The sequence below is a fragment of the Homo sapiens genome, chromosome 5 (genome assembly GCF_000001405.40).
Source record: "Homo sapiens chromosome 5, GRCh38.p14 Primary Assembly".
In the NCBI taxonomy this organism is placed as follows: domain Eukaryota; kingdom Metazoa; phylum Chordata; class Mammalia; order Primates; family Hominidae; genus Homo; species Homo sapiens.
Genome location: NC_000005.10, coordinates 36,441,779 through 36,455,704, shown reverse-complemented (window position 1 = coordinate 36,455,704; position 13,926 = coordinate 36,441,779). Strand labels below are relative to the sequence as shown.

Sequence of the window (13,926 nt, the reverse complement as noted above, 5' to 3'; positions counted from 1 at the left end):
CTTGTTGCCCAGGCTGGAGTGCAATGGCACGATCTTGGCTCACCGCAACCTCCGCCTCCCGGGTTCAAGTGATTCTCCTGCCTCAGCCTCCCGAGTAGCTGGGATTACAGGCATGTGCCACCACACCCGGCTAATTTTTTTGTATTTTTAGTAGAGACGGGGTTTCACCATGTTAGCCAGGATGGTCTTGATCTCCTGACCTCGTGATCCACCCGCCTTGGCCTCCCAAAGTGCTGGGATTACAGGCGTGAGCCACCGCGCCCGGCTAAATTCTGATTTTTAAAAGCCTAGCCAAGTCTAGGACCTATAATGATTGATTGCACTGTCTTTTTACACTCTTCATTTTCAGTGTACCAAGGCTATATTCCATGGTATGTCATAATATTTATTCTTTTGCATACACCTTCAATTTCCTTGCCTCTTCTTCCTTTATCGTGCTCACCTGGCAAAACGCTAGTTCCAGCGACAGCCAAATCTCTGCTGGCTCTGTGCCTGCACTCACGCAGGGGAATATGGCTGCAGGTAACTACGCAGCTATGCTGACTGTTCTCACATTACATTTATGGCCACAAGTATCATTAGCCTCTAAGATACTTGTCAATCAGACTATACTTTCCTGGTCCATTAACTCTCCCATGCATCTATTTGGTATCTTCTTATTTCTCCTTAACCTCTATTACATCTTGCTGCACCTTCACTGTCAGCTGATGACCTTGTCACTGAGAAAATGAAAGCAATCAGAAAAGAACTACCATTGGCTTTGTTATAAATAAAGTTTCGGTGCTGCAAAAGAAATAGCACTTGAATATAAAATTTTCTTTTTAATTCTCAGCAAGGCAAGTTACTTCTATAGAAGGGTGCGCCCTTACAGATGGAGCAATGGTGAGTGCACACTTGGACAAGGGAGGGGAAGGGGTTCTTATCCCTGACGCACATGGCCCCTGCTGCTGTGTCGTTCCCCTATTGGCTAGGGTTAGACCGCACAGGCTAAACTAATTCCGATTAGCTAATTTAAAGAGAGTGATGGGGTGAGTGATTTGGGGGGATAAATGGTTATGACAGAGCAGGTAATGAGTCAGGGTTGAGCAGGTAATCAGAATGCGTCAGGGTGGAGCAGATAATTGAAAAAGGTTGCTTTATAAGGAAGTTAAGTTTAAAAGTAGAAGGCAAAGTATTGAACATACTGACATATTGATTTTTTGAAAAGAAATTTAGACCCCATATCTAACAGCTTCCACTTCTATATGGACTTCTCTACCTTCATCTGTGCCCATTGTGTTTTCTATTGCTGTGTAACAAATTATCCCAAAACTTAGTGGCTTAAAACAACACCAATTATTATCTCATAGTTTCTGTGTGTCAGGATCCAAGGCACAGCTTAGCTGGGTCCTCTGATTCTGCATCTCCTGGTATCTTTCTTTTGCAGCTGAGTGCCAGTATGCTTTGACCATTAAATAGGCAAGTTACGCCCTGGCCATTAAGGAAGGACTTACTACTAAAATGGACTGGATGGGAAAAGACACACATCTTCTCATCTTCCTATAGAATACACACTGGGTAAAAGAAATATAGTACTTTTAATAAATTATAAAACTCTTTGAAGTTAAACTATTTTTTCTTAAATTGTCTTTGCAGTATTGGGAAAATCTAAAAGACATCTGGAAAAAAGAAAATGGAATTCTTGCCTCAAGTAAGGCCAAAATTATTTGAAGATGGATCAATGATTTAACTAGAAAAAAAGAAAGTATAAAATTCCAGAAAAAAAAATTTTTCTAAATTATCTCACAATAAGAAAATTTTTCTTCCAAGTAGGACAAAAAACCTAGGAGTCATATAAAAAGGATTGATAAATTTGATTGTATAATAATAAAAATATCTACATGGTGAGAAAAAAATAAACAAAATGAAATGAGAAATTAAAACCAGGATAATATTTTCAATGCATATCAAAAACAAAGGGCATACACATAATTCTAAAAGAAGTGACAAATCAGTAAGTCAAAGATCATTAAACTAATAGCAAAACAGACAATTGAGAAGATGCTCAAATTCATGTATAATTAGGGAAATGAAAATTACAACTACAGTGAATATACTTACTTTGTGTTAGATATAATTTGCAGAAGGATAGCAGAAGTGCAAGAAATGACATAAGTACAAGGATATTCACTGGAGAGCCTGGCACAAAGTGAGTACGGGTAAGTATTGGCTAAATAGATGCTGTTTGTAATAGCAAGATTAGAAACAAACTCCATGATCTCCATGTTCCCAAAGAGGATACTGACAACACATGGTACAGTTCAAAGAATGAGGCACTGAAAGTACTGATATAGAATGATTTCCAAGGTTGAAAATTGAAAAAAGCCAGCCTGGACAACATGGTGAAACCCTGTCTCTACTAAAAATACAAAAATTAGCCGGGCATGGTGGCGCACATCTGTAATCCCAGGTATTCTGGAGGCTTAGGCACAAGACTCACTTGAACCCGGGAGGCAGAGCTTGCAGTGAGCCGAGATTGCGCCACTGCACTCAAGCCTGGGCAAGACTGTCTCAAAAAAAAAAAAAAAAAAAAAAGAAAGAGAAAAATAAATTGAAATTGAAAAAAGCAAGATGCAGAAACATATGTATAGCATGCATATTAATTACATAATAGAAAAGATATAGGCATACTTGTAAATGCATGGTCTATCTCTGGAAATATTCACTAGAAATAAGGAGGACTGCCTCCAGGGAGAACTAAGTGGCTGAATGACCGTGAAGGAATGTAGAATACTTTTCATTGCATACACAGCCCCGCTTTTGTCTTTCATGTGCATCTGTTATTTAAATGAATGAAAACACTTAAAAGTCAAATAGTTATCATTTTAAAAGAACTGAAGAAAAATAGTCTATAAGCAACAGCGTAGGAAAATATAGTATTGCTGAATGAGTTGCTACTTAATTTATGTGTTTAAGAGGACAGGGAGGAGTGGTTTTATATGGAAAAACACAGACATTGCCTAGGGTTATACAGGATGGAAGCCAGATATTCTGAATCCACCTCTTGCTTTTGACTTGGCTGCTGGAGCCTGAGGCAAGTGAATTAAGCCAGTCAAATCTGGATAATAGTACTTAATGATCAAGCTCTCCACTACATTGTGAAAATCAATTACTTGATGTTGGTAAAACGCTTTGAAGGTGTCATGCTCCAAGGTGCAAGACAGAGCCTGTTCAGACCTGTATGCTGTCATGGGAACTGAGGCTCTGGAGTCAAGACTTTGAGGAAACTTCCAATCACTGTTCAGTGAAACCAATGTTTTTAAAGTGCCAGTGCTCCCAAATGTGTCTTCCATGTGCGTGCCCAGAGAATCAGCCTATTTTATGTGTTTTTTTTTTCATTCCTGTCTTACTTTTCTACACAGTGCCAAAGGTCCATTAAGGAAATTGTAATCCAATGATTTCCAAAAAATGAGTTATTTTCAAAGAAGAGAAGCAAGGGTTAAGACCAGGCTGTGCAATTCAGTAAGAAAATTACAAACCCTTCCAGAAATTACAGCGAGTTAGGGATTAATGTCGGCTTTTGAACAATACGTATTAAATTAGTCTGTAGAAATACAACATTCTCAGAGAAATGCACAGTCTAAGAAAAGCAGACCTGTGGAAATGAGAATGTTAGTAGATAATTCTCCATCAGTCTCTCACATTTCTGTACATCTTGCAAGGAATGCGCTGATTATCCTCTTTCCTGGATTATCTTTTCAAATACATTTTTATAGTTAACAGCCTTAGAAAATAGAGTTAGTGTCTTTCTCCAGAGCAAATAGTAGGTTTGCTTACTGCACTTCATAAAAGATTTGAGTTCTCTACATTCAAAGTTTTTCTCCTGTAATGCAATACGCTACATGTATAGGTGTCATCTGGCCCTGTGGAAATTGGGGCTTGGTGAGGTGGTACAAATATGCTGATACTCTGGCTACCGCTATTGCTGTCAGTTATAAACTATCCTTTGTCTTTGACACAGGAGTCTGGTGTCTTCTACCGGCATCCATGAAACTGTAGATGGGTGACTTCTTAGCTTGCAAGTGGGATAAAATCTCAAACTCTTCACAGTTCTTAAGAAATAATTGTTCTCTAGACGACTGCTATGTGAAAGAAATACAATGCAGGCCACTCATGTGAACCAAAACATAATTTTAAACTTTACAGTAGCCACATTAAAAAGCTAAAAGAGGCTGGGTGCGGTGGCTCACGCCTGTAATACGAGCACTTTGGGAGGCCAAGGCGGGTGGATCACCTGAGGTCAGGAGTTACAGACCAGCCTGGTCAACATGGCAAAACCCCATCTCTACTAAAAATACAAAAATTAGCCAGATGTGGTGGCACACACCTATAATCCCAGCTACTTGGAAGGCTGAGGCAGGAGAATCTGGGAGGTGGAGGTTGCAGTGAGCCAAGATTGCACCACTGCACTCCAGCCTGGGCAACAGAGTGAGACTCCGTCTCAAAAAAGAAAACTAAAAGAAACAGGTAAAATTAACTATAATAATATATTTTGTTTAACACGATACATCAAAAATATTGCCATGTAACCCATATGAAATTATTAATGAGCAATTTTACTTCCTTGCCTAGCATGAAGTCTTCAATATCTGGGGCATTTTTTATACTTACAGCTCATCTCCACTGGGACTAGCCACATGTCCAGTGCTCAAAAACCATGAATGGCCAGTGGCTTCCATTAAGAACAGTGCAGCTCGAGTTTACAACATACAGTAAAATGAAAACAAAAGTTTGAAGGCCTAAAATAGGTTTTCCTTAAAAAAAAAAAAATCAAAGCCAGAATGTCAATGATATTGTTCACTGGGCCCATTGCTCCTGAGACTCTGAGGCATGTTCTGCATGTTCCAAAGTTTAAGCCTGACAGACTTGTCAGGACATTCTTCATCCATTACTTAATCCTCCTGTGCCCTTTAAGGTACATTCAGGATTGTTGTTTCTTTTGCAGCTGACTGTAATAAGATAGGAATGTAGGATAAGAGTCATTAAAGACAAATTTAATACCAATCTATCAAGCCAGAGATTGAAATTTAAATGTACCTTATTTCCCTTCCAGTTTTCTCCTTTGAGAGGTTTATCTACCCAGACAATGCGTGGGAGTGGGGGCTGGATAATCCTAACCTTAGCTCAAATTATATTAATGTTTGAATAGGAAATTGGGTATTCACCCAATTTTGACAAAGGAAAAATTTCAGTCTCAGAAAGCTTAGTCTCAGCTTGCTCATCTAACCTGCCTTGTTCACAGGATGACCACGTGATCATATGAGTGAGTAGCAGTGATGGGCATTGACAAGGGAAGACAGCACTTGACATCTAAGGTGCCATGATGCTGAATATAATGATCTGTCCTTACTAGAATTTTTTCTAAACAGCATTCTTCAGGACTCAGAATCTTGCATGGATTTGATTATGGTAAAATAAACAGCTGCCAAAACTTTTCATCATTTGGGCTGAGGAGATGTCAGCCCAAATAATGCCAGCGTTTAAAAATAAGAAATATGAGTTTATAGGAATCACATGCATTGCTCCTCACATGCTTATATCCTCCAAAGATGGCAAAATGGTAGAAGTTAAAGGAATTTTTTTTAATCCTCAAATCTCACAAAAATCCAATGTTTGGAAAAGACTTGGATAAAAATATTGCAATATTATAAGATTAAGTTCTAAAATATATACGACAGAATCCTTTTTGAGACAAAATTCACATAGGGAAGAGACGCTTCAGTTTCTTAAATAAATAAGCAAATCAATCAGTCAATCAATCTCTTTTTAAGGGTCCCATAACATTGGTAGTGGTTGAGTTAAATAATGATATAAAATGGCCAGGTGTGGTCAGGCACCTTGGAGAATAAATATCACCCTTTAGATCCTGGGCCCCAGACACTGCAGGGCCTCCCCATGGGTAGGTGGAAGAAGGAATCCTGAGTCCCAATCTGAGCACTTGGGAGGATTCACCTCCACGTATGTCTTCTACCTACCCATGATCTATCATTACCCACGTCATCCTGTCCCATTCATGAAGCCAGCATTTGGCCTAAGACCCTCACAGAGGTCCTGCCTCTCCCTCATACTTCTACTCAAGAATTATTATCAAGTCCCCTATGTCACATTTTGTGCCCTTCTTTTTTATCCAGTACCCTGACCAGCCATCGCTTGCCTCAAGTTTCTTACCATGTCTTCTACTGCCCTGTGTCCCAGTAGCACCAGTTTGTGTTTCACGCGTGGGCTTTGGCCAAATATGTCCCGTGTTCTGGACCACTCATCTTAGCACCTGGCCTCTTCCAGACTCAGCTTGCCCTACTTACAATTTGCCTTTAGTTACTGTGTGTCTGGGTAAGAGGCACCTCATCCTGAATCACCATCTAGTTGGGTATTATGGTAGGTAGCTATTGACTTTGCTGGTAGTCATTTGTTCCTAGTATGAGACAATGTTTCTCCCTCTCTTCTCCTCTCCTTTTCCTCCATCCAAATGACAGTGAGATCGAGTAAAAAGTCTATGGAATTTGGAGTTAACAAAAATGGTGTTGAATTGTAAAATGCCACCTTGGCAATTATCTCTAAGCTTGGTTTTTCACCTATAAATTGGGGATGATAACAATTAGTGCTCAGATACAGGTTTTTTTATGAGAATAAAAACATGTGAGGACAAGTGTGCAAGAGCCAGGCATAAAGTGATAAATGAACATGGCACGTTTGAGTGGCAATAAGCTTGGAGTCCTAAACTCCTTTGGCTTTTTGTCTGTCTAGCTCTGTTTGCCTGGTCTGTATGGTTTGTTTATTTTTATTTTTTAAAACATAGATATATACCTTGTAATAGATATATACCGTGTAATAGATATAAACATAGATATATATCTTCTGCTATATTGCATTAAGAAATCTTTGAGGCGATATACTTTATCATTCATATTCCTATCTTGACCATTATAGTCATGTATTTCTTGGCTTGGGTGGAACAGAGAGTTCCTGTTTGAGTTCTACACAGAAACTTCCCAAAGGAGAGCTTCAAATTTTGGGAACCCTGTTAGATTTTCTGGGAAATCCATCACATGAAAGTGGATTGTAGGAAAGTGGGTTGCATTTAGATACCACCTGGAATAGAACCACCTGGAGGCAGAGGGCTAGCGGTTGGAACGTTTGGCATGTGTGGCTCTTCCTCCTGTTGGTGGTGAGGTTTTCGACAAATTGTTTAGCTTGTCGGCTTCAATTTCAGTCAGCTTACTAGAGATTATAATGATATCGACCCCAAAGTGTTGATAGGAGAGGGCATGAGAGAATTCAGGATACTTGATTCTCAGTGTCTGGCACTCAGGGCTTGCTCAATACACATTAACGATGATGGTTTTAATATTTCTTGCAAACATCTTCTGAAGCGCTTCTCAATCTAGAGTGATCCTACTAAAATATCAATCAGGTTATGTCACTCTGCTGCTCAGAACTCTCTGACAGCCTATTCCACTCAGAGGAAAGGTCAAGATCCCTGCTCTATTTCCTTTTTCCCCTTAGCATTTAAAACCTCTTTAACAAACAAACAAACAAACAAAAACCTCTTTAACAAACATTTAATTGACTTACTTGATTTGCTTATTGTTTATACAGCCTGTCTCTCCCTGCTAGCTTGTGAGCTCCATGAGGGCGGGTCTGTTTAGTTCACTTTGCAGTTCAATGTCTTACACATTGAACTGGCCATACTAGGTACTGTTTATTGAATGAATGAATCACCCACAACCAAGATGATCTCTACCTCTCCTGAATTCCCACATTGCTTTGATGGCTATTCTTTTATGACACTTATTATAGTCCTAATACTGTACTTTTTTTTTTTTTGTTAGAGGGAGTCTCACTGTCACCCAGGCTGGAGTGCAGTGGCCCGATCTCAGCTCACTACAACCTCTGCCTTCCAGGTTCAAGCGATTCTTGTGCCTCAGCCTCCCAAGTAGCTGGGATTACAGGCACACACCACCATGTCTGGCTAATTTTTGTATTTTTAGTGGAGATGGGGTTTCACCATGTTGGCCAGGCTGGTCTCAAACTCCTGACCTCAGATGATCCACCAACCTTGGCCTCCCAAAGTGCTGGGATTACAGGCGTGAGCCACTGCGCCCAGCTATGTGTTTTTTCTTTTCTTTTCTTTTTTTTTTTGAGATGGAGTCCTGCTCTGTCACCCAGGCTGGAGTGCAGTGGTGCAATCTTGGCTCAGTGCAACCTCTGCCTGCTGGGTTCAAGCGATTCTCCTGCCTCAGCCTCCTGAGTAGCTGGGATTACAGGAGTGCACCACCATTCTCGGCTAATTTTTTATTTATTTATTTTTTATTTTATTTTATTTATTATTTTTTCTTTATTTTTGTAGAGATGAGGTTTCACTACGTTGGCCAGGCTGGTTTAGAACTCCTGACCTCCAGTGATCAGTGCCTGCCTTGGCCTCCCAAAGTGCTAGGATTACAGGTTTGAGCCATCGCACCCAGCCATATACTGTACTATTTTGATATTTGCCTTAGTCTCTTTACCTCCCTGAGTTGTAAGCTTTCTGAGTTGGAAGAATGTCTTATTTCATTTTGTTTTACCTGAAAATCATGGCACACAGTCAGCATTCATGCTCCTACTGGGAGAAATACAACTGGAATTCTGAGCTGTATTTCCTGTTTTCACCCACTCCTCTTGTACCATCTTTTCATTAACATGAAACTTTATTACCCATCAAATATTTGTTAAATATTTGATCTTTAATTTCTAAAATAAAATGCATTGAATAGACCGGGCGTGGTGGCTCACGCCTGTAATCCCAGCACTTTGGGAGGCTGAGGCGGGCGGATCACAACGTCAGGAGTTTGAGACCAGCCTGGCCAATATGGTGAAACCCCGTCTCCACTAAAAAAAAATACAAAATACAAAAATTAGCCAGGTGTGGTGGCGTGCGCCTGTAGTCCCAGCTACTTGGGAGGCTGAGACAGAAGAATCCGTCCCAGGAGGCGGAGGTTGCAGTGAGCCGAGATCACGCCACTGCACTCCAGTCTGGGCGACAGAGTGAGACTCCATCTCAAAAAAAAAAAACAAAAAAACAAAAAAAACAAAGAAACAAAAAAGAAGCATTGAATAAATGTCACTTAATCTATTAGTAAGTGTTCACACTTAATTTCTGAACATAATACAATATTTCCATTTTCTCATCAAGAGAAATACAGATTCCTGCTAGGATCATCTCGTCTTTAATGTGGCAGTCAGCAGTAGAATGACAACTCCCAGGTCTGTGGTGCAATGGAGTTGGTGACAGAAGAGGCTCAGCCGTGAATCCCACTCTCTCTGCTCCAGGCCTTCTTGGTGCGGCCAATCACAAGACAATCTGGCTTTAGGGCAAACTTAAAAGAAGTAGGTTAGAGCCACTTAAGAAAAGAAGCAGATGGAAAGACAATTTGTTCTTTTTCAAATTACTTATTGAGACATCCAAGTATAAAAGGTTCTCTGGAGAATCTCCGACAGGCCTGCGCACTGGGAGAAGACGGGGTGGAACCACAGAAGTTTGCGCCTTGCGGCGGGGAGGAGCCTGGCCCCTAGTGTTCCTGCGTGGGAACCTGGGAATTAGTCTGTGAGATGAGGGCCTGTTAACAGGAACTCCTCTCTCGCTTTGCTGTGTTGTTTCTCGTTTTCACCCGATAAATTCTGGCCCCCTCACCCTTCAAAGTATCTGCATAATCTTTCCTGCTAGTTTGACAATAACCCGGGTTTTCCTACAACAATATTATGTTGGTAATTTTAAAAATGTGCTTCAATGGACACTTGTTATTTGATCTGAATACTAAATTTCATCAGCTTTTAGCCCAATTCATGATCCCAGTTACTGATGTCTATTGAAATTGAGGGTAGAGAATGTCATTTTGGCTTGCGTAAATCTAAGAAGAAATTCCAGAACGGGGTTGGAACAAGCACCCCACACAAACAGTGCAGACATGTCCCCAGTCAGCTTCCTCTGCGGCACGGAGAAAGGGAAGAAGGCCCTCTCTGGCGCCTTGGACACAGCCATGGGAGGAATCCCTGAGGCCAGACCTCATCCGCCACAACCCTGGGGGCCTCCTGGGAGGTGACGGGACAGGCTGGTGAATATGTGGACACCATTTATTCAGCTGCTTGAGTCCTCAGGTTCTTGACTCTGAAGCCCTGTCACTTTTATGTGATGTTTCTCTTTAAAACTCATGGGTTCTCCTTGAGACCCTAAAGGGCACAGTGAGGTCTGCACACTTCCTTTTGCCCCTCCGGGGTACAGTGCTGTCTGTGACATGCAGGGGCGCACTCTTGGAGCAACATCCATTTCCCAGGCTGCTGGGCAGGATTCATGGCCAGAAAGGCTGCTGGCTTCAAAGGCCCAGAGGAGCCCCTGGAGCAGGTCAGACCCTGCAAGCGCCTCTGATGTGAACAGGCACCTGGACAAACAAAGAATGCAGGGTGGTTCTTTATTCCTGCTACACATTTTCCTGAGCAAAATGTGCCAGGACTGCCTTTTCATGCCTCACATCTTAAAGAGGTGTTTGTGTATCGGGGGCTGGGGAGGATGGTGGGTGTTGAATTAGACTCTCAGGGCTAGGTCTTTCATCTTCAGATACTCAGCAGGCCAGTACATCACGGTAGTCCCATAATCCTTTCCCTCGTCTCAGCTAACTCTGCCTGTCATGGGACATTCTCAGCCAAGGACCCATCTACTGATCTTTCACAGAACGCGTGTGTGTAGCTTTTCAGTGCTTGATTCAGTGCCTGCTCTTGTAGGAGCAAAACAAATATTTGTTGAATGAATAAATGAGCTACTTGGATCAACTGTAGAACAAAGCTATATCTTTAGAAGCGGAACCATTTCTCTCATTTTGGATCCCCACCAGAAGCAAGCTCTGAAACACGGATTTGAGTCAAAATAGTTTATTTGGGAAGTGATCCCAGGAAACACCAGTAAGAGAATGAGGAAGTGGGACGGGCAAGGGAAAGCAGCCAACAAAGAATGCCTCATTCAGCAAATCACCACTTTGGGCAACTGGGGCGTGAGCTGCAGGGCAACTCCAGGAGCCAGTGAAGAATACCTACCCCAGCACTACCCCATCCAAAGCGTTAAGGAGCCAGAGTGTGGCAACAGACTGCTTCTGGGGGGTTATCAATTCCAGCTGCTGTGTGCCCAGGCAGAGTAGGCACTGGGCACAGTGAAAACCTTCAGGCAAAGGTGTGCATTGGCAGTTGGAAGTCAGACTGGAGGTGCATAAATGATGGAGGGTGTTTGCCATGTCTCCAACACGATTCCACCAACTTTGGTTTCCATTCCCTCCATTTCTTATGTCAGTAGGAGACTGACAGAAGCTGTCAGGAGGAGACTGGGGGTTGCTGGTTCCTTCTGCCCTAGGGACAATAGTTAGTACTAGAGACTAGCTTAGCTCATAATCTCCATTATCTTGTTACTTGTTAGCTGTGGGCCCACGTGGACATGGGTTTCAGCAAATCACACACACTAATCTTGCAGTACATTCTGGTTGCCTGTGATTCTCTTGGCCTTTGTTTCCAAATCGCATTTTTGGTGTCTTAGTATGCATAGGATAGAGCCAACAATGACTGTGTTTGAGACTGAAGGGGTTGAGAAGTTTAAAGAACAATAGTGTCATAATTCAGAGTGGTTAAACTTAGTTAATGATATTGTTGTAAAACTTGTCACAAAACCTGGTGCGTTAGACCCATGAAGGACCTTAGATACCACCTCATTCAATGAGCTCATTTTACAGATGGTGAGACAGAGCAGCAGAGAGGTGAAAGGAATCGTCCAAGGTCGCACAACTGGTTAGAGTCTCCAACCCCAGGGCTGATTGCCCTCCCATGCTGCTGCTCACACTGCCCATTCGCAGGGGCTCTGGAGAACGCTCTCCGGAATGTATTGTGCAAAGTGTTAAAGAACATGGGACAAGTGCAAGATGGGAGCAAAGGATTTAAGGGGTGGAGAGGGAAATGGGGCAAGAAAACAGGAGTGTGGGAATCAGCAGCTGTTGAGCTCCTACTCTGTCAAACACCATGCTCTGTGTCTTACAGGCATTATCTTATTACTGGTCATGAAATCACTGGGAAGCAGGTGTCATCATTTTTAAAACTGTGTTTTAAAAGCTTTTCAAACTTTTTTTAAAAAAGTAATTTCTTGGCCAGGCACAGTGGCTCACACCTGTAATCCCAGCACTTTGGGATGCCAAGGCGGGTGGATCACCTGACCTCGGGAGCTCGAGACCAGCCTGGCCAACATGGTCAAACCCTGTCTCTACTAAAAATACAAAAAATTAGCCAAGCATGGTGGCAGGTACCTGTAATTCCAGCTACTTGGGAGACTGAGGCAGGAGAATCGCTTGAACCCAGGAGGCAGAGGTTGCAGTGAGCCGAGATCACACCATTGCACTCCAGCCTGGATGACAGAGTGAGACTCTGTCTCAAAAAAAAAAAAAGTAATTTCTTTAATTTTTTAGAGAAATGATCTCACCTCATTCTGAAGCTTCATTCCTACACAGAAGCAGGAAATAAAAAAACAAACAAAAACAAAGATGGAAACAACAACAACAGCAAAACCCAAAACCTGAACTTGTGAATGTAAAGTAGCTGGGTTGCCCATGGATTGACTCATGAGGCCGATAGTTTTACTTTGGCAGCAGCCCAAGACAACTTATTCACATTTCCTCTGTGCATGGATAAACACCTTCACTGGCCTCTAGTACACCAAGGCAACTCTGAAAATCTCTAGTCAGCAACATCTACTTTGAGCATCTTCTACCTCCCTGGATAGTTCAGGTCTCTAGTGACAACATTGGAGATCTGTTTAACATGAAAATACAGTTTTTGAGATAAGCATCTTTTTGAATAATTGTCATCCCAAAACACCACTAAAAGAATGAATTTATAAGATTGGGCCAAGCAGAGAGCTGGCTCTCTGCAAAACACAGGACCCGGGGAAGAGCAAGGGGGTTGGAAGCAGGGTGAGAGTGAGAGAGGGGAAAGAAAGAAACCAGTCAGCAGGCAGTTAGGGTGAGTCCTCGGTTAAATTCTTTCAAACAAACACCCTGCAGGCACAGATAAGGGAACTTGCACAGTGGGGCTTACCTAAGACATGCCCACAGACATACAGATAAGAAAGGCTACACAGGTGACTTGCCCAGACATGCCCGCAATGGAAAATTCCATCTCCTGACACATGCACAGTAAGGCGAACAAAGCAATATGGAGTAACTCAAACTAAGGGCCTGCACGTGCACTAGGAGAGAGGGGTATAGCTACCCGAAATTCGCACCTTATATAAATAAGATGCCCAGCTCTCATCAGTGTTTTATTAAAACCTTTGCATTCAATTGTAAAACAACAACCCTCTTTCAGGTCCCCTCTCGGCAGTGGAGAGCTTTCTTCTTTCACTTATTAAACTTTCGCTCCAACCTTGGTGTCTGCACTCCTTAACTTTCTTGGTCATGAGACAAAGGACTCTGGGTACTACCTCAGGCAATGAGAGACTGCAACAAGAGGGGGAAAGAAGAGGTGTGTGGTGGTTGTTCAAAACATGAGGGATTTCCAAGAAGGGCAAGCATAGCTGGGGCTGTAGCAGAATGTAGCATGAGGGCTCTGGGTACCTGAGAAGGAGCTAGGATTAGGATTGGAATCCAAAGGCACATAATATAGCCACTTCCTTTCCTAGTCTAGTGGCCTTTGGGGAGGGTATTCGCCAAGTGGGGAGAACAAATGTTGAGGCTGGTGCTGACTATCTTCAGAGCCAAAAGGTGACCTTCTTGTCCCCTCTGCACTCACTGAATCATGGGGACCACATCCCCATCTTCTGATCCCCATCCAAAGCTGGTTGTGCCAGTCACAGATCGCAGAGCCCATCAGTGCCCCAAGGGCCGAGGG

The 13,926-nt window shown here is 42.4% G+C and overlaps 1 annotated feature.

The window, feature by feature from the left end:
• Positions 12,450 to 13,649: an enhancer, noted in NCBI's record as "MED14-independent group 3 enhancer chr5:36442158-36443357 (GRCh37/hg19 assembly coordinates)". NCBI's record gives its function as "activates an origin of replication core promoter dependent on BRD2, BRD4, P300/CBP and CDK7 cofactors, and independent of MED14, by STARR-seq in HCT116 cells {active_cell/tissue: HCT116}" and the evidence as "EXISTENCE:reporter gene assay evidence [ECO:0000049][PMID:35650434]".